This window comes from Homo sapiens, chromosome 14 (assembly GCF_000001405.40).
Source record: "Homo sapiens chromosome 14, GRCh38.p14 Primary Assembly".
Taxonomy (NCBI): domain Eukaryota; kingdom Metazoa; phylum Chordata; class Mammalia; order Primates; family Hominidae; genus Homo; species Homo sapiens.
The window spans coordinates 75135692-75154246 of record NC_000014.9 but is presented as its reverse complement, the minus strand read 5'-3'; the positions used below and the strand labels follow the sequence as shown (position 1 = coordinate 75154246).

General features: G+C 41.7%; 1 protein-coding gene across 1 annotated transcript in view, besides 4 other annotated features; it reads left to right on the top strand.

The window, feature by feature from the left end:
• The window catches only part of TMED10 (transmembrane p24 trafficking protein 10), a 45144-nt gene that overhangs the window by 22366 nt on the left and 4223 nt on the right, over positions 1-18555 (top strand). Inside the window, exons 2-4 of the mRNA NM_006827.6 lie at positions 2104-2215; positions 6510-6583; positions 18361-18487. Coding sequence (NP_006818.3) covers positions 2104-2215; positions 6510-6583; positions 18361-18487 — 313 coding nt within the window. The remainder of the gene's footprint in view (positions 1-2103; positions 2216-6509; positions 6584-18360; positions 18488-18555) is intronic.
• Positions 1219-1883: an enhancer, noted in NCBI's record as "H3K27ac-H3K4me1 hESC enhancer chr14:75619067-75619731 (GRCh37/hg19 assembly coordinates)". NCBI's record gives its function as "activates a minimal SCP1, AML or CMV promoter by ChIP-STARR-seq in naive H9 embryonic stem cells {active_cell/tissue: H9 hESC(naive)}" and the evidence as "EXISTENCE:reporter gene assay evidence [ECO:0000049][PMID:30033119]".
• Positions 6247-6541: a silencer, noted in NCBI's record as "tiled region #744; K562 Repressive non-DNase unmatched - State 13:Ctcf". NCBI's record gives its function as "represses a minimal TATA promoter and a strong SV40 promoter by Sharpr-MPRA in K562 cells {active_cell/tissue: K562}" and the evidence as "EXISTENCE:reporter gene assay evidence [ECO:0000049][PMID:27701403]".
• Positions 6247-6781: a biological region, named in NCBI's record as "Sharpr-MPRA regulatory regions 714 and 744".
• Positions 6487-6781: a silencer, noted in NCBI's record as "tiled region #714; K562 Repressive non-DNase unmatched - State 12:CtcfO". NCBI's record gives its function as "represses a minimal TATA promoter and a strong SV40 promoter by Sharpr-MPRA in K562 cells {active_cell/tissue: K562}" and the evidence as "EXISTENCE:reporter gene assay evidence [ECO:0000049][PMID:27701403]".

Sequence of the window (18555 nt, the reverse complement as noted above, 5' to 3'; positions counted from 1 at the left end):
TTTTTTTTTGTATTTTTAGTAAAGACGGGGTTTCACCATGTTGGCCAGGCTGGTCTCAAACTCCTGACCTCAGGTGATCCACCTGCCTCGGCCTCCCAAAGTGCTGGGATTACAGGTGCGTGAGCCACTGCACCTGGCAGAGCTACCACGCCCGGCTACATGTCATTTTCAAAAAAGGCCGGGTGTGGTGGCTCACGCCTGTAACCCCAGCACTTTGGGAAGCCGAGGCGGGTTGGATTATGAGGTCAGGAGATCGAGACCATCCTGGCCAACACAGGGAAACCCTGTCTTTACTAAAAATACAAAAAAATTAGCTGGGCATGGTCGTGGGTGCCTGTAGTTCCAGCTACTCGGGAGGCTGAGGCAGGAGAATCACCTGAACCCGGGAGGCGGAGGTTGCAGAGAGCCGAGATCACGCCACTGCACTCCAGCCTGGGGACAGAGTGAGACTCCATTTCAAAAAAAAAAAGGGAAAAAAAAATAGAAAGTCTCACCCCTCAGAAATAACTACTGTTATAAAGTACTTTTAAATATATAAGCTTAAATGTGTGCTACTTAATTTTCCTGCTTAAAATTTCCCCTTAAAAGAATTATGTTTTAACAAATAGCATTAGAACATCCAGTTTAATGTAATTAAGCCACTACTTTTGTGTTCCACATTGCAAAGTAGCTTCCAGTCTTAAGTGATGAAATATGCTTTCTACTAAGACAGCCACGTGCTCTAGAAATGAAGGCTAAGATCCAGTCTGTTAAATTACCATGGAATTCCCTTGCTTTGTATGTGGCTGTTTACTTAGCAGTATATGCCCTTTATTCTGTGCTGATAGGCCATTCTTTGGTAATAGAGCAGCTTAAGTCTGAAGAGCTAAAGCTAAGGATCTAGAAGAAAGGAATAATCATTTATGGAAGCCAAAGATACCTTTTTTTTTTTAGGATAAATTTCTCTCCTTTTTGTTTTTGTTTTTGTTTTTTTGAGACAGAGTCTTGCTCTGTCACCCAGGCTGCAGTGACACGGCAAGCTTCCCAGTACCTGGGACTATAGGTGCGCACCACCATGCCTGGCTAATTTTTGTATTTTTTGTAGAGATGAGGTTTCGCCATGTTGGTCTTGAACACTTTTTTTTTGAGACAGAATCTCACTCTGTCATCTGGGCTGGAGTGCAGTGGCGCAATCTTGGCTCACTGCAACCTCCGCCTCCCAGGTTCAAGCGATTCTCCTGCCTCAGCCTCCTGAGTAGCTGGGACTACAGGCATATGCCACTGCGCCCAGCTGATTTTGGTATTTTTAGTAGAGACGAGGTTTCTCCATGTTGGTTGGCCAGGATGGTCTTGATCTCTTGACCTCGTGATCCATCCGCCTCGGCCTCCCAAAGTGCTGGGATTACAGGCGTGAGCCACCGCGCCCAGCCAGGTCTTGAACTCTTGAGCTCAAGTGATCCTCCTGCCTTGGCGTTCCAAAGTTTGGGATTACAGGCGTGAGCCACCATGCCTGGCCAGAAACTTCTTTTTTGTTTCCTGTGTTTTGTTCCCACTCTACCTGGCCGTTGACATAATTAACATGAAATTTGCAGGAATAGATCTCCTGGATTGTCTTCTCTATGTATGCTTTTCTTCCTGCTGTCCTTGTATTGTGTGTCCTAATTTTATTCTCCACCCACACCCCTTCCCCATCAAATTTGTTTTATAGAATAAATGTGTTTTTATATATCTTTGTCCCTCTTGTATAATCTTTTGATAATTGTCTACTTTCATTTTTGTGACATGTTCCTCTATGCGGAATGATACTAGTGAGTTTTTGCCAATAAATCCAATGTATGTAACTTGGAGCATTAGCTAGATTAACTTTTTGGTATGGTAAGACATCCTATAGCAGCAACAGATTTTAGCCCACAGTGTGATTAGGCTATTTGAATGGATGAAATTTGCTGTATTTGGATTTAATCTTCTAATCCAGTTTTTGTCTTTGGGGATGGTTGGAACATAGTCATCATAATGAGAACTATCAATTGTCTTTCATAGATAGTGTCTCTATCTTCCCAGTTTCTGTAAGTTCTCTTCCTGAGTGTTATTTGCTGCCTATTCTTACTACTTTTCTTATTTTAGATCACAGATTCTGCTGGCCATATTCTCTACTCCAAAGAGGATGCAACCAAGGGGAAATTTGCCTTTACCACTGAAGATTATGACATGTTTGAAGTGTGTTTTGAGAGCAAGGGTGAGTAATCAAGAGTGTTTCTCTGGATTAAGAATCTTCTCCAACTCTAATGCTCCTTAATACAGTCAGCACTTAATATCTAGTTTCATTTGTATTCTTTATTTATTCTGATTTGGAGACCTGTTACCTTGTAGTCTTTGGAGCACCTTTTAAAAGGTCGACTACATGGAATAAAAGATTGAATAGGTGGAACAGAGAGAATTTTTAGGGCAGTAAAAATATTCTGTATGATACTGTAATAGTGGATACATGTCATTATATGGTTGTCCGAACATTACATTTGGAATGTACACCAAGAGTGAATCCTAATGTAAACTGTGGACTTTGGTAGATAGTGATGTGTCCATGTAGGTTCATCATTTGTAATGAATGTACCACTCTGGTGGGAAATGGTGATAATGGGGGAGGCTATGCATATGTAAGAGGAAGGGGGATATGGGAAATCTTTGTGCCTTCCTCTCAGTTTTGTTGTGAACCTAAAACTGCTCTAACAAAGTGAAGTCTTAAAAAAAAGGCTGGGCATGGTGGCTCATGCCTGTAATCCCAGCACTTTGGGAGGCCAAGGCAGGCAGATCACTGAAGGTTAGGAGTTTGAGACCAGCCTGGCCAACATGGTGAAACCCTGTCTCTACTAAAAATACAAAATTAGCTGGGCATGGTGGCTCGTGCCTGTAACCCTAGCTGCTCAGGAGGCTGAGGCAGGAGAATCACTTAAACCCAGGAGGTGGAGGTTGCAGTGAGCAAGATTGTGTCACTGCACTCCAGCCTGGGTGACAGAGTGAGACTCCATCTCAAAAAAATAAACAACAACAACAACAAAAAAAACTGGCCGGGCGCAGTGACTCACGCTTGTAATCCCAGCAGTTGGGAGGCCGAGGCGGGCGGATCACCTGAGGCCAGGAGTTTGAGACCAGCCTGGCCAACATGGCGAAACCCCATCTCTACTAAAAATACAAAAATTAGCCAGATGTGGTGGTGGCACATGCCTGTAATCCCAGCTACTCGGGAGGCTGAGGCAGGAGAATTGTTTGAACCCAGGAGGCAGAGATTGCAGTGAGCCAAGATCGTACCACTGCACTGCAGCCTGGGTGACAGAGCGAGACTCTGTCTCAAAACAAACAAAAAGGATTGTCTGTTTGCCAGGCAAATGCAGAGAGAAAAATTATGAAGGGTCCTTTTACAAAGGAGACTCTTTAGGGCTATGATGTCAGCTAAGAGGATAGGCTGACAGTTCTATGCAAGAGACTGTATAGTCTGGACTCGACCATTCTGAGAAATGGTGGTTAGGTGATTTCGTTGTGCAAATATTAAGTGTACTTACACAAACCTAGATGTTATAGCCTACTACCCACCTCGGCTATATGGTATAGCCTACTACTGCTCCTAGGCTACAAAGCTGTAAAGCATGTGACTGTACTGAATACTGTAGGCAGTTAGAACACAATGCTATTTGTGTATCTAAACATAGAAAAGATATAGTAAAAATACAGTATTATAATAATCTTATGGGACCACCTTCATATATGCAGTCTGTCCTCGACTGAACTGTCTTCATGTAGTGCATGACTGTACTGTGCTGTGACAATCAGGGAGGTAGTTGGAAGACCTTGTAAGAAAGAAGATATCCTGATCATTTGGACCAGGTGGGGCTGTGAACTGCTTAAGTTTCACAACTTTTTCAATGAGGAAGTACATCTTCCATGGACAATGTCGTAATCAGGATTACACATTGGATTTGGGAGAACAGAACACTCTGGGTGCCACATTTTGTTTTGTTTTGTTTGAAGACTTGTTGTTTTCATGCTCAGAAGACACATGTGACTTGTCTTACTTTGTTCTCAGTCTTACCCTGTGCAGTCTTATTTATATTTCTCTTGCTTTCGAGTTAATCTTTCCAGTCTATCCAAAAGAAGTCCTTTTTTTGTGTGTGTGTGAAACAAGAGTCTTGCTCTGTCACCCAGGCTGGAGTGCAGTGGTGCGATCTTGGCTCACTGCAACTTTACCGGGTTCAAGTGATTCTCATGCCTCAGCCTCCGGAGTAGCTGGAACTACAGGCACGCACCACTGCGCCTGGCTAATTTGTGTATTTTTAGTAGAGACGGGTTTCATCATGTTGGCCAAGCTGGTCTCGAACTCGAACCTCAAGAGATCCACCTGCCTTGGCCTCCCAAAGTGCTGGGATTACAGGCATGAGCCACCGTGCCCATCCCAAAAGAAGTTCTTTACTGTCTTTCAAGCATGCCATACTCCGATTTTAATATCTGAGCCTTTGCTCATGCTTTGCCGTCTGCCTAGAGTACTTTGCCTAAGTCCTGCCTTTAGGTGTTCCCTTTTTAGTGAAGTCTGTCCACAACTACAATCTTCTCTCCTCTTCCCTTTGCTCCATATTGGAATTGTCTGAACCAGTTCCTTTGGCTTAAACTTTTACAGTGCTTTGCATTTTCACCATAGTTGTTTTGTGTATATGTCTTAGATCCCAATTGAATTATTTGAAGGCAGGGATTGTATCCTGGCTTAGTCCATTTTGTGCTGCTATAACAGAACATCGCAGAGTGGGTATAAACAGTAGAAATTTGTTTGGTTCATGGTTCTGGAGTCTGGAAAGTCCAAGATCAAGGGGCCACATCTGGTGAGGGCCTTTTTGCTGTGTCACAATAACATGGCAGAAGGTATCACATGGCAAGAGAATGCACAGGAGAGCAAGAAGGGGCTGAACTCACTTTTATAACAAACCTACTTCTATGATAATGACATTAAATCTATTGATGAGGGCAGAGCCCCATGACCTAGTCAATTCTTAAAGGTCCTACTTCTCCGCCAGGCACAGTGGCTCATGCCTATAATCCCAGCACTTTGGGAGGCTGAGGCAGGAGGATCGCTTGAGCCCAGGAGTTCCAGATCAGCCTGGACAGTATAGCGAGACCCTGTCTCTACAAAAAATACAAAAATTACCTGGGTGTGGTGGCTCACGCCTGTAGTCCCAGCTACTTGAAAGACTGAAGTGGGAGGATTGCTTGAGCCCAGGAGTTCGAGGCTACAGTGAGCCATGATGGTGCGTGCCACTGCACTCCAGCTTGGAAGACAAGAGTAAGAACCTGTCTCAAAAAATTTTTTTTAATTAAATAAATAAAATTAAAGGTTTTACCTCTCAACACTGTTGCATTGGGGATTAAGTTTCCAACACATGAACTTTGAGAGGGGCACATCGAAGCCGTAGCATATCTCTTTAAAATCTCCAGCACAGTTTTAGTACTTAGTGAGTTTTCAATGAGTAGTTATTGAATTGACTTCAGTTCATTTCAGAAAACTTCCAGTGTCTCTCAGGCATCAGAGGGTACAGTACCATTCAGTGTGGCTTATGGTTTCAGGAACCCCAGTGCTTCAGTGGCACTGTTTCCCACAACTTCTAATTTCATGCAGGCAGTTGTAAATTTTATAACTAGGTGAATTCCAGGGGATTGGGGCTGAACAGTTTTCTGGGGCTCCTTGGGTCTTTTCCTTTCTCCTACTTGATGATTTAAGATTAGAATGCTTCTTTGATCCAGCTGAATCAGATTGACTCTTCTAACATGAACTCTATTATAAGAAGCATCCCTGAGATTTGAACACTTAAAGTTGTTTTTTTTTTTTCCTTGAGCTGTTGTAACTCTTTTAAGGGCTTAGTGGGAATAGCTCTATGACATTGTACTCCTACTGAACTAGGCCATACATTGATCAAAATGTTTGAATTAAAGTGGAATATTAGATAAAACTTATGTTCTTTTCAGTACTCAGATTTATATTAAGTAAATCCAAGCTTAGCACATATCCAATAATCCTAATTCATCATGGCCTTCCCTCAAAATTTGACAGGGCAACCTTTTCAGATGTGGAAATACACATTTTCAGCCGAAGTTGTTGCCTACTATCTCTTGATTTATATGCCACTCAATTTCACACTGTTTTGATTTTTGAGTTTTATTTCCCAATTCAATAAGCCTGTGTGGTTTCCCTTCTGTTCTGTTCCTCTGTAGTACCAGTTGCAGTATCTTGTGTCCTTGCCTGCTCAGAGATGTTTGCCAGCAGCATGTTCTTGTTGCTTTCCGGCACCCCACACAGATAGAGGCTTTGTCTGGAATGTTTGTGATTTTAGCCAGAGCCAGGAATTTTCTGCAACTGAGCAGGGGGAGGAGTTGTGGCTGTTTCCCTCTATTGAGAGGGTAGGGGTTCTGTAGAGGGAGGGCGGGCGGGTGGGTGGGTAATTTCCCAGAATTTTAAGTATTTCACACAATGATTCCTTTGATTTCTTTCTCAGGAACAGGGCGGATACCTGACCAACTCGTGATCCTAGACATGAAGCATGGAGTGGAGGCGAAAAATTACGAAGAGGTATGTCCTGCTCTAACAGCCAGAGGAGGCAGCAGTGTGCTATGCTGTGAGGTTTCTGTGACCTCGGCAGGCCAACAGGCTGTGCTTTGCCCAAAGGGCTGTGGTTTCTTAGCAGTCTTGTGACAGCCAGCCATGATCTTACTGATACAAAAAGTGGTATTAACAGCCTTAGCCGGGCGCGGTGGCTCACTCCTGTAATCCCAGCACTTTGGGAGGCCAAGGCGGGTGGATCGCCTGAGGTCAGGAGTTCGATACCAGCCTGGTCAACATGGTGACACCAAGTTTCTACTAAAAATACAAAAATTAGCCAGGAGTGGTGGCGTGCGCCTGTAATCCCAGCTAGTCTACTCGGGAGGCTGAGGCAGGAGAATTGCTGGAACCTGGGGGGCAGAGGCTGCAGTGAGCCGAGATCGTGCCACTGCACTCCAGCCTGGGCGACAGGGCAAGGCTCCATCTCAAAAAAAAAAAAAAAAAAAAACAGCCTTGAAGAATAATTCTGGCTGTGCTGTCAGCCAAAGACTGAACAAACTGTCCCACAGAATGTTGGTTTGATAAAACACTGAAGCATATGGCATTAGTTCTCTTGAACTGTGTGTGTGTAGAGAGAGATATTTTAAATTTTTTAAAGCTGGAATTCAGTTATTTGTTAATGCCCAAGGTTAAGAAAAGTGATTTGTTTTTAATTCCTAAGACTTTTTCCCCAAGACCAACAGTTGTATATCTATCTATCTATCTATCTATCTATCTATCTATCTGGGGCATGGATTCAGTGCTGTTTAGTCTTGAACAACTGTTTTGTGTTTGGGAAATAACAATAGTCAAAGATAGTTTTTAGTTAAAATAATTTCAAACTTTCAAGGAAGAGGGCAGGATGGAGGAAAAAGCTGCAAGAGACTAGGAATGGTGATAATAGAAATTTGATGCTGATAAGAAGTTATTTATTATAGACTAATAAAAACTGACACTTATTTGGGTGACAGGGAGATGGAGGTGTACACAGAATGAGGAGAAGGACAACAGCCTTTTTCATCTCTGCGAGACTTGGGGGCAGCACAAAAGGGTTCTTCAAATGAAGGGCACCTTTGAAAAACCACAAGAACTATTTAAGACTAGATAATTGATCTTTACAGAAAGATAAGAGTATTTTTACCCAACAAAACAGTACGTAAGGGCATGAAGGAGGAGTGGGGTACAGGAAATAGAATGGGCTTTTGAAGAATGCAAACTAAGTAAATGAAGGAAAATTGGTTTAAGTGATTTAGGAAAATTGTCTAGGAATAGTGGAACAGAAGTTGCTCTCTCTTTGGACAGCACTTTGGAAGGGAAATATCCTAAAATGGAAGAAGATTGGAAATGACTGGTTAATTCTGCAACAGGAAGTAGTACAACAGTTGCAGCTCTTTCCTTGTTCAAATCCTCAATTGAATGAAACTAGGTAGCGTTATTTAGAGGCAGTAAATAGGAGCAAGTGATACAGTTGTGAATGGGAGACAGTTTCCGGTAGAGAATTTTCAATTGTTTGTTTCTGTTTCCAGGCTAGTTTAATTTAAATAAATAAAACAAGAAGACCTCTTTATTTGATGAACTTGAGTAAATTGAAAAATTTTTTTAAACCTTCATGATTCAGAAGAATCTTAATTATATTTAAATAAGATTATGTTAAAGTGCTTTTATAAGATATAAAACACTAGGGAGAATGTTCTCATTATTATAAGGTAGAAGAATAGGTAAAATGATTTCCAGTTTGTGGTTACTGCTTCTGTTCCCGAACTGTGGACCATTCTCAGTTGAATTTGTACTCTGTGGAATTTTACCTATTGTAATCTTTTTCTCCAACATGATGCCTGTCATTAAGGGTATTTATTTATTTATTTATTGAGATGGAGTCTCGCTTGGTTGCCCAGGCTGGAGTGCAGTGGCGGGATCTCTGCTCACTGCAAGCTCCGCCTCCCGGGTTCACGCCATTCTCCTGCCTCAGCCTCCCGAGTAGCTGGGACTACAGGCACCCATCACCACGCCCAGCTAATTTTTTGTATTTTTAGTAGAGACGGGGTTTCACCATGTTAGCCAGGATGGTCTCGATCTCCTGACCTCGTGATCTGCCTGTCTTGGCCTCCCAAAGTGCTGGCGGATTACATGCGTGAGGCACCGCGCCCAGCCCAAGGGTATTTATTAAATAACAACACATCAATGCCCTATTAGACAGTAGACATAGCTAGTTCCCCTCAAAAACAGATGACATTATTGTGGGTTTATATAAAGAATGCTTTGGACACAGCTGTCGTATAGCATTTTAGAACCCCTATACCTCCTGGAATTTCCATCATCCTTGGACTTTATAGACATTAGGAAAGGGGCTTTATCTTTCCTGACCTTTTGCTTAACCCAAGAGGGGAATCCCTAGCCCAAAGAAAACCACGGTGCTTCCTTTGCCTGCTTCCTGCTTCAGACGTCTGACATGTCCTAAGCCTGCCTTTACGCATGTAGTTACAACACAGCTCCAAGGTTCTGCTTCTTAACCAAGAAACTCCTCCCCACTACTTTCTTTAACATCTATCCCCACCCTCCTGCCCTTCACCCCTGCTCCCCAGCAGCAGACCAGATTGATGTAGAGGAGGAATGGCTATGACACAGTCCGAAGACCAGCCCTTTCTTCAGTCTGCAGCAAGGCTGCCTTGAACCTTGCTTAGAAATGGCTGTTAGCTGGCAGGGCACGGTGGCTCACACCTGTAATCCCAGCACTTTGGGAGGCCAAGGTGGGTGGATCACCCAAGGTCAGGAGTTGGAGACCAGCCTGGCCAACCTGGCGAAAACCCCATCTCTACTAAAAATACAAAAATTAGCCGGGCATGGTGGCGGGTACCTGTAGTCCCAACTACTCGGGAGGCTGAAGCAAGAGAATCACTTGAACGATTTAATTTCAGGCCCTTGAGATAATGGAGAGGCTTTATCTCCAGAGGATTTGGAATCTTTGGCATCAGCATTAAGATTCGGGAATGTGGCATACTTCTTTAATTTTCATGTCCAACACATCTCTCCCTCATATCTGTGGACTCATAATTCTGAAATCCCATGTGGTCCTGTAAGATTGAATAGTAATTGTACCACACTACCTACCTAAATTGTTATTAATTAATCCATGTGAAATTGCTATGTAACACAATACAAATGTAAGATGATATTATTTGGAAGACAGAATGCTTGTCATACTGTGAAGAAGCATTAAGTCTTGTTGTTTGAATTCTTTAAAGAGAAAGAATGCCTTTGTCCTCGGAAATAAAGCACTTTTGATTTTGATTTCTTGCATTTTATTTTATGAACCTCTGACCACTGTCTCACTTCTGCCCTTCAGAGGGTGTATCTTTGTAGATTCAGGATGTGAACCGAGCCACTTCTTTTTAGTTTGTCATCTGTGAACTAGAGCAGTTGTTTGTAGGGACTTACTGTCTGTGCAGTTGGGAGAATGCAGGCAATTACTGTCCGACAAAGAAGGAGCTATCTGACACATCTTCTAACTCCTGGGCTGTGTGTCCCACGAGTAAAATACCGCTTTGCCTAGGCGATTCTATTTGTCTGTCATTTGCTATCAATCTATATTCCAAAAACACAGCTGCCCTGGTTGGAGCAACAGCTGAAGACTTTCCAAAAGTTCTGTTTCTCTGAGTGCTCTCAGGAAGGAGGAACTCTGATTCCATGTACTAGATCCAAAGTCCTTTTTTTTTTTTTTTTTGAGACAGAGTATCACTCAGTTATTCAGGCTGTAGTGCAGTGGCGTGATCTTAGCTCACTGCAACCTCTGCCTCCCGGGTTCAAACAATTATTCTGCCTCAGCCTCCCGAGTAGCTGGGATTACAAGTGTGCACCACCACACCCAGCTAATTTTTGTATTTTTAGTAGAGACAGGGTTTCACCATGTAGGCCAGGCTGGTCTCCAACTCCTGACCTCAAGTGATCTGGCCACCTCGGCCTCCCAAAGTGCTGGGATTACAGGCATGAGCCACTGTGCCAGCTCTGTTATGTTTATCTTGCTTGTGTTAGACTAGATGGTCTTCACATTTATTGCTGTGCTCCTGGAGTTGGTGGGGGCTGTGGTGGGAGGCATGGAGGCAGCAAACTACTTTGACTGAATTTGTCTTGTCACAAGAAGCTTCTCTCTTGGATCTTGATGCTCCACCAAGGAAAAGAATTTAGAGATTCCCTAGAGGTTAGATTAACACCTCTGTTTTAAGAAGCAGTTTTTTCAGAGAATTAATACCTTTTCTTGGTACAGTTACATATAACTCTGTGAACTCTTTAGATTCAAATCTTCATTATAATGGAAGATTTGGATATGGTTTTAGAAGAGTTTAATTTTACTGGTATTTTGGAGGTGTTATACAGAAAAAGGCTTTGTAACTTGTAGCTTTTCCAAACAGTACCTACCATGACCAGTAAGAATGATGTTAATAGATATGGTGGTAGAGAAGGCTTTCTCCTAGGCGGCGGGCCTCATGAAAATAGATGCAGGCTGGGCGCGGTGGCTCACACCTGTAATCCCAGCACTTTGGAAGGCTGAGGCAGGTGGATCACCTGAGGTCAGGAGTTCAAGACCAACTTGGCCAACATGGTGAAACCCTGTCTCTACTAAAAATACAAAAATTAGCTGGGTGTGGTGGCAGGCGCCTGTAATCCCAGCTACTCGGGAAGCTGAGGCAGGAGAATCATTTGAACCTGGGAGGCAGAGGTTGCAGTGAGCCAAGATCGTGCCACTGCACTCCAGCATGGGTGACAAAGCAAAACTCTATCTCAAAAAAATAAAAAAAAGAAAGAAAAAAAATCAATGCAGAGTGCTTTTAGTATACAAGAAACACTTGCTTCAGGGGACCAGCAGCACTTAGCTACTTTGAGAAAGTTGGCTTCTTTGAAGAAGGCATAGAGTGGGCAGAACAGGTCAATTACAAGTGTTTACCAAGTCTCAGGTCTTTACGACTATATAAACTATAAATCATTTTAATTTCCTTGAGTTCAGGAGCCAAACTAGTGTGGAGGGACAGGATAAAAATAAAACAATTTGTGAATATGACAATATATGATTGAGTGTTAACTGTGTGACACAGTATGTGTTGTAGGGCTTCAGGGAAGACAGTGTGGACAAGAGTGGTTGAAGGAGGCTTTCAAGGAGGCTTGAAAGATAGGTCAGATTTGGGTACAGAGAGCATAAATGCTTTTGGAAGTCAGGGATTCTGTTCTCGAATTTTACAGCAGAGTTTGGCAGTTTAAATGCTGTGATCACCCTGGGTAGGGAGTTAAGAGACCATGGTACTGTTAATTTTGGTTGGACACCCAAAGGGCTGAGTAACTTTATGGAATCTTTAGTTTCCTCATTTGAAAAATGAGGGACTCACTGCAAAATGAAGCACCTTGTAACTATAACATCCTTTGATTATTTAACAACTACATGCAGCTTGCCAGGGGGATATCACCCCCTATTGGAGAACCTGTGGTGCACATTGTCTTACAGACTTGGCAAAACATACCTCATGCTTCCAGTGATGAAGGAGAGTAGAATAGAATACCAGCCTGCCTTCATGAAACATGTATAATTTGGCATTTTTACAGATACTCTGAACAGTTCAATCAACTGCTTACAAGAGCAGAACAACAGAAAGTGGGAATTTTGATATTGAGGATTTTTTAGCTTTTTGTACTGTGATATAAAGCCTCAATGCTATGTATTGAATGCTTAGTCCAGAGCAAGTAAAGAGCGTCTTCTTGAGAATACTTACCATGATTTGTTTTAAAATTTTACTCTGTTGCCCTGCAAAAATAATAGCAATGGGAAACCCAGGAAGTTTATTAGTCAAACTTTATTAGTCAAGCAAACAGGACAACTTATATAGATCCTTGTGGCCTAATATAGCTTGTTCATTTCACCTTTGATTCAGGAAAAACTTAGTATACTCATCTGGTTTTCTTTATTAAATTTCTAGTACTTACAGAATAAACTCACATAGACTTGGATTCTAATGCCAACTGCACCAAGCTGTGATACTTTGGGCAAATTATTTAATACCTCAGAGCCTTAGTTTCCTCATCTGCAAAACTTAAGGATAAAAATATTCACCTTATAGGGTTACGAGGATTAAATGAGATTACAAAATATACTACATTGTGAGCATATATGAATGGCTCTGATTCATTATACTACCTTTTTCATCCCCTTCCCTAATTTAGTCTCAGCCTAACTTTTGAGCCTTTTATTTGCTATTATCCCCTACCCTCCCCAAGCACAAGTGTGTGGCAGTTATGTGTGTACATGCACACATACCCTATAGTCTAGTTTCTAGCACACCAGACTACTTATGTCTAGACTATTCGTAGTTGCTAAACATGCCTGCACTTTACTCCCTCCGTGTTTTGGTTTACAGGTTCCCCTCAGCCTTGAATGCCCTCTCAAAAGTCCTGCCCAACTTGTGAGACCCAGCTCACCCACTTCCTGTTAAGCTTCACTTTGTCCTCCCAACTAGAACTGTTTTTAATGTGTATTTTTTGTTATAGAAGTTACTACATAAAGCCATATATTATGGTTATAACTTACTATATAAGCTGTGAGAGCTTAAGATCATAACTTACCTTGGTACCTTGCACATAATAAGAACTCAGAAAAAAACGTTAAGGCCTTAAAATGTTTAAAAAAAATCAAGAAACTTTTTTATATTTGTTTTAAGCTGGTAATAAAAGTCTATTGTTATATATTCTTGCAATAAAGTTTTTTTTTCTTTATTATTATTACTACTTTGTAATAGAGATGGGGTCTTGCTGTGTTGCCCAGCCTGGTCTCCAGCAATCCACCTGCCTTGGCTTCCCAAAGTGCTGGTATTACTGGCATGAGCCACTGTGCCCTGCCTGCAGTGAAGGTTTTTTGTTTTTTGTTTTAAACCACTGACTACTACTACTACTTCTTCATTTATTTATTTTTTTGAGACAGAGTCCACCCAGCCCAGGCTGGAGTGCAGCGGTGCCATCTCAGCTCACTGCAACCTCTGCCTCCCAGGTTCAAAGGATTCTCGTGCCTCAGCCTCCTGAGTAGCTGGGACTACAGGCATGCGCCACCATGCCCAGCTAATTTTTGTAATTTTAATAAAGACTGGGTTTCACCATGTTGGCCAGGCTGGTCTCAAACTCCTGGTCTCAAGTGATCCATCCGCTTCAGCCTCCCAAAGTGCTGAGATTACAGGCGTGAGCCACCACACCTGGCTAATTTTTTTCTTTTGTAAAAATAAACAGGCCAGGCCCAGTGGCTCACGCCTGTAATCCCAGCACTTTGGGAGGCCGAGGAGGGCGGATCATGAGGTCACAAGTTCGAGACCAGCCTGACCAACATGGTGAAACCCTGTCTCTACTAAAAATACAAAAATTAGCTGGGCGTGGTGGCACGTGCCTGTAATCCCAGCTACTTGGGAGGCTGAGGCAGGAGAATCTGGGTGACAGAGCAAGAGTCCATCTCAAAAAGAATAAACAACAGAAATTTATTTCTCATAGTTCTGGAGTCTAGGAAGTTCAAGATCAGGGTGCCAGTGTGGTCAGGTTCTGGTGAGGGTCCTCTTCTGAATGCATACTGCCTCCTCACTGTGTTCTCACATGGAGGAAGGCGGAATTACTTTCCTTAATAGCATTTAATTGTTAAGTCCGTCAGATTTTGGTGGTTTGAAAAGATCTTTGTTCTTTGATTTCCTCCAAATATTATTTGGATTTCTAGGTTTAGATTCAACATAGAAATATATCCATGATTGTTGTTTTTTACTATTGAGTATCCATGGTGTACTAGGTGTTTGGAATGGCAAGCTAGATTTCAGTACTGTTTTAGTCTCTTGAGATTTCTTTAAGATTTCTAGATTTTAAATTAGTATCATGAGTGAAGGTACTTATTAGGCAAAAATGGCTTCTAGGAAATGAGACCAAAATGAGACCTTCATCCCACTAATGAAGGTCTGAAAATAATTTTCTGGATGAAAGATGGGATTCAATAGATTTTTTTTTTTTTTTTTTGAGTCGGAGTCTCAGTTTGTCTCCCAGGATGGAGTATAGTGGCATGATCTTGGCTCACTGCAGCCTTGACCTCCCAGGCTCAAGTGATCCTCCTGCCTCAGCCTCTCGAAGTATTGGGATAACAGGTGTGAGCCACCACGCTTGGCCTCAGCAGAGATTTTGTTGAGGAAATAAAATCAACTTTGAAGATAGGAATTTGACTGTTTGGTTATGAATAGAGGTGTAGAGTCTGAAGTAGCACCTGTACTAGAAAAGGGGTTGGGAATTGAATGATTAACTAAACAATGTGGAATACTAGCTGTGTGGAATGCTGTGCAGCAGTTAAGAATAAGATGAATTGATAAGCACTGACATTTTTGGAAAGATCTTACTAAATGGAAAAAAGCTATAGAACAATGTGTGTAGTATGCCATTTATAAATAGATTTTAAGTTATATTTTTCTGTGTACATTTACATACAAAAGCATAGTGTCTCAGAAGAAAAGGTGTGGAAAGATAATACATCAAGTTTATAAGCATCTTTACCTCTGGAAAGCAATGTGGGAATTGAGGAACCATGAAGGTAGACTTTTGGTTTATATTCTCTTTGCTTCTGGATAGTTTAAATTTTTAGCCAAAGAATATATTTATGTGTTGGTTGTACAACTAAAAAATAAGTTTTATTACTGGAAAGGGATTGGGAACAGCTTGTGGGGGGCTGTAATCTACAAAAGCCATCTTCAGTACCAGGTTTAATTCCATCATTGTTTTTCGGGTTTTAGGTCTCTGGACTATTGTCCTTTAACAACAACAACAACAAAAATAAAAAAAAAAAAAAAAAAAAGAAGCAAAGGCTGTGGGATTCAGTAGGCTTTAAAGTAATTTTTTTTTTAATATCATTTTCAGCTGGCAGAGGCACAGCCATAGTTTCACTTCCAGTTTCTTTTGCAAGTTTCTATTTAGGGAACTTTAAATAATTTATCTCTAAGAAGTATCATGCCATTTCCTTTATACTGTCTCATTTAGGAAGCTCTGAGTGGGGAAGTATAGAGCAGGAGGGAAGATGTTAGACTAAGGTTCAGCTTGTATAGCTCCTGTATTTTTCTTGAGGAATTTTTTTTTGTTCTGCAGCTCTATATGAGATCAATGAACAGATATATATTCTGGGTTAATGACAAAACCTGGCATTTGGCCATTCACTTAGGAAAGTTAGCTCTGTGCATTAACTATTGGTTAAATCTTACACCCAGAAGCTGTTCTGCAGTTACCAGTCACACCGTTAACTCTAGCCAACATTTTACAAACGCAAGAAAATGTGCTTCTGGTGAGAGAAAACTGTAGGTGTATCATCGCAAGTCTATCACCATATTTTTATGGACCTTAAATATAAACTCAATTTTTACATCCCAATTTTAACAGCAGTTTGTTTTATTTTAAATAACTTTTGTTCATCACACATTTAGTGAAGAATATAATAAGAAAACATAAAATAAATGCCTCCTATTCATCCCTTGTTAACTGCTGTTAACATTTCACAAAGAAAAGGACAAGGACAATGAATTGAACAAAGGAGAGAAAAAAAAGTGGGCCATAGGGAATGTACAGTAAATAGGGAGTAAAGAAGCAGATATATAAACAGAATTATTAAGGCCAGGTGCAGTGGCTCACGCCTGTAATCCCAGCACTTTGGGAGGTCGAGGTGGATGGATCACCTGAGGTTAGGAGTTCAAGACCAGCCTGGCCAACGTGGTGAAATCTCATCTCTACTGAACATATAAAAATTAGCTGGGTGGGGTGGCACACACCTGTAATCCCAGCTACTCAGGAGGCTGAGGTGGGAGGATTTTTTTGAACCTGGGAGGCAGAGGTTGCAGTGAGCCAAGATCATACCACTGTACTCCAGCCTGGGCAACAGAGTGAGACTCCATCCTTAAAAAAAAAAAAAAAAGAAAGAAAGAAACAGAATTTTTTTTTTTTTTTTTGAGATGGAGTCTCGCTCTGTCACCCATCCTGGAGTGCAGTGGCACAATCTCAACTCACTGCAAGCTCCGCCTCCTGGGTTCACGCCATTCTCCTGCCGCAGCCTCCCGAGTAGCTGGGACTACAGGCGCCCGCCACCACGCCCAGCTATTTTTTTTTTTTATTTTTAGTAGAGACGGGGTTTCACCGTGTTAGCCAGGATGGTCTCGATCTCCTGACCTCGTGTTCCACCCACCTCGGCCTCCCAAAGTGCTGGGATTACAGGTGTGAGCCACCACACCCGGCCAGAAACAGAATTATTAAAGAATTCTCTATGTGGAAACTTTAAGAGCAACTGGTATGTAAAAGTTTTAAGATCTGGAAAGCTGGCCGGGCATGGTGGATCACGCCTGTAATCTCAGCACTTTGGGAGGCCGAGGCAGGTGGATCACGAGGTCAAGAGATCGAGACCATCCTGACCAACATGGTGAAACCCCATCTCGACTAAAAATACAAAAAATTAGCTGGGTGTGGTGGCGCACGCCTGTAGTCCCAGCTACTTAGGAGGCTGAGGCAGGAGAATCACTTGAACCCAGGAGGCAGAGGTTGCAGTGAGCCAAAACCACACCACTGCACTCTAGCCTGGCAAGAGTGAGACTCCATCTCCAAAAAAAAAAAAAAAGATCTGGAAAGCTCTGGTGGTGTATCTCATTTTAAAGCAAAGCATAATCTAAGACTGATAAGAAAAAAACAATAATGACATCTTTGCTGGTGTGACAGATGCCTCTAGTTATTAGATACTCTTAAGAGTTTTCTTAGGGGTCTAACTTGAGAGCAGAAGACAGTTAATTTCTTTCTCACATCCTTCATTCCTCAGCATACAGGGAATTCCTTGAAGATTTCTTTTGATAACTGGCTGTGTCATTCTAAAAGAAAAAAATACATAAAAAATTCAGTGCAGTTTTCTCACATCTGAGCTCTGATATTAAACCTTAAAGTTGTTGTAGGATTTATATGAACCAGAATTCTCTAATTGTGTATTTTGAATTATTACTTTAATGCTATAACAACACATGCTCACATTCCTATGTACTGTCAAAGGTTTAATGAATTTAGTGGTTTTTCTTCTAAAACCAGGTTTGACTTAATATGACTCCCACATTTATTGTATTAACAATAGTTTACTTCTTAGACATGAGTGGAAGTGCAAAGTAAAGTGCTTTACTAAAGTCAAAAATCAGCTGGGCATGGTGGCTCACACTTGTAGTCCCAACACTTTGGGAGGCCAAGGCGGACAGATTGCTTGAGCTTAGGAGTTCGAGACCAGCCTGGGCAACATGGCAAAACCCCATCTCTAGAAAAAGTATAAAAATTAGCTGGGTGTGGCAGTGCATGACTGTGGTCCCAGCTACTTGGGATGCTGAGGCAAGAGGATTGCCTGAGCCCAGGAGGTCGAGCCTGCAGTGAGCCAAGACTGTGCCACTGCACTCCAGCCTGGGCAACAGAGTAAAACCCTGTCTCAAAAAAAAAGTAAAAAATCTTGAGACAATAGTATATCTTACTTTATAGCCTACGGTTATTATATTACTTCTAAGATTTTAGTCAAAATTAAAGTATCAAAAAAGGTCTGAAATGGAAAGATATAGTCTATAGGGAAAGAAAGAAGCCCAAATTTTAAAATATGTTAGGATGATTGATAGGAGAGAATTTAAATCTGGTGAAACTTTAAAAAAGACTTCTCTGTTGCCTTCTTTATGTTCTTGACTGAAGCGATGTTTTCAGAGAGCTGAAAATATTCCATTCTTTTCCAGATTGCAAAAGTTGAGAAGCTCAAACCATTAGAGGTAGAGCTGCGACGCCTAGAAGACCTTTCAGAATCTATTGTTAATGATTTTGCCTACATGAAGAAGAGAGAAGAGGAGATGCGTGATACCAACGGTGAGGGGGAAGGCGACTCTTACTTCTTAAGTGACCCATAAATGAGACAGTCTCCAAACTTTCAATTC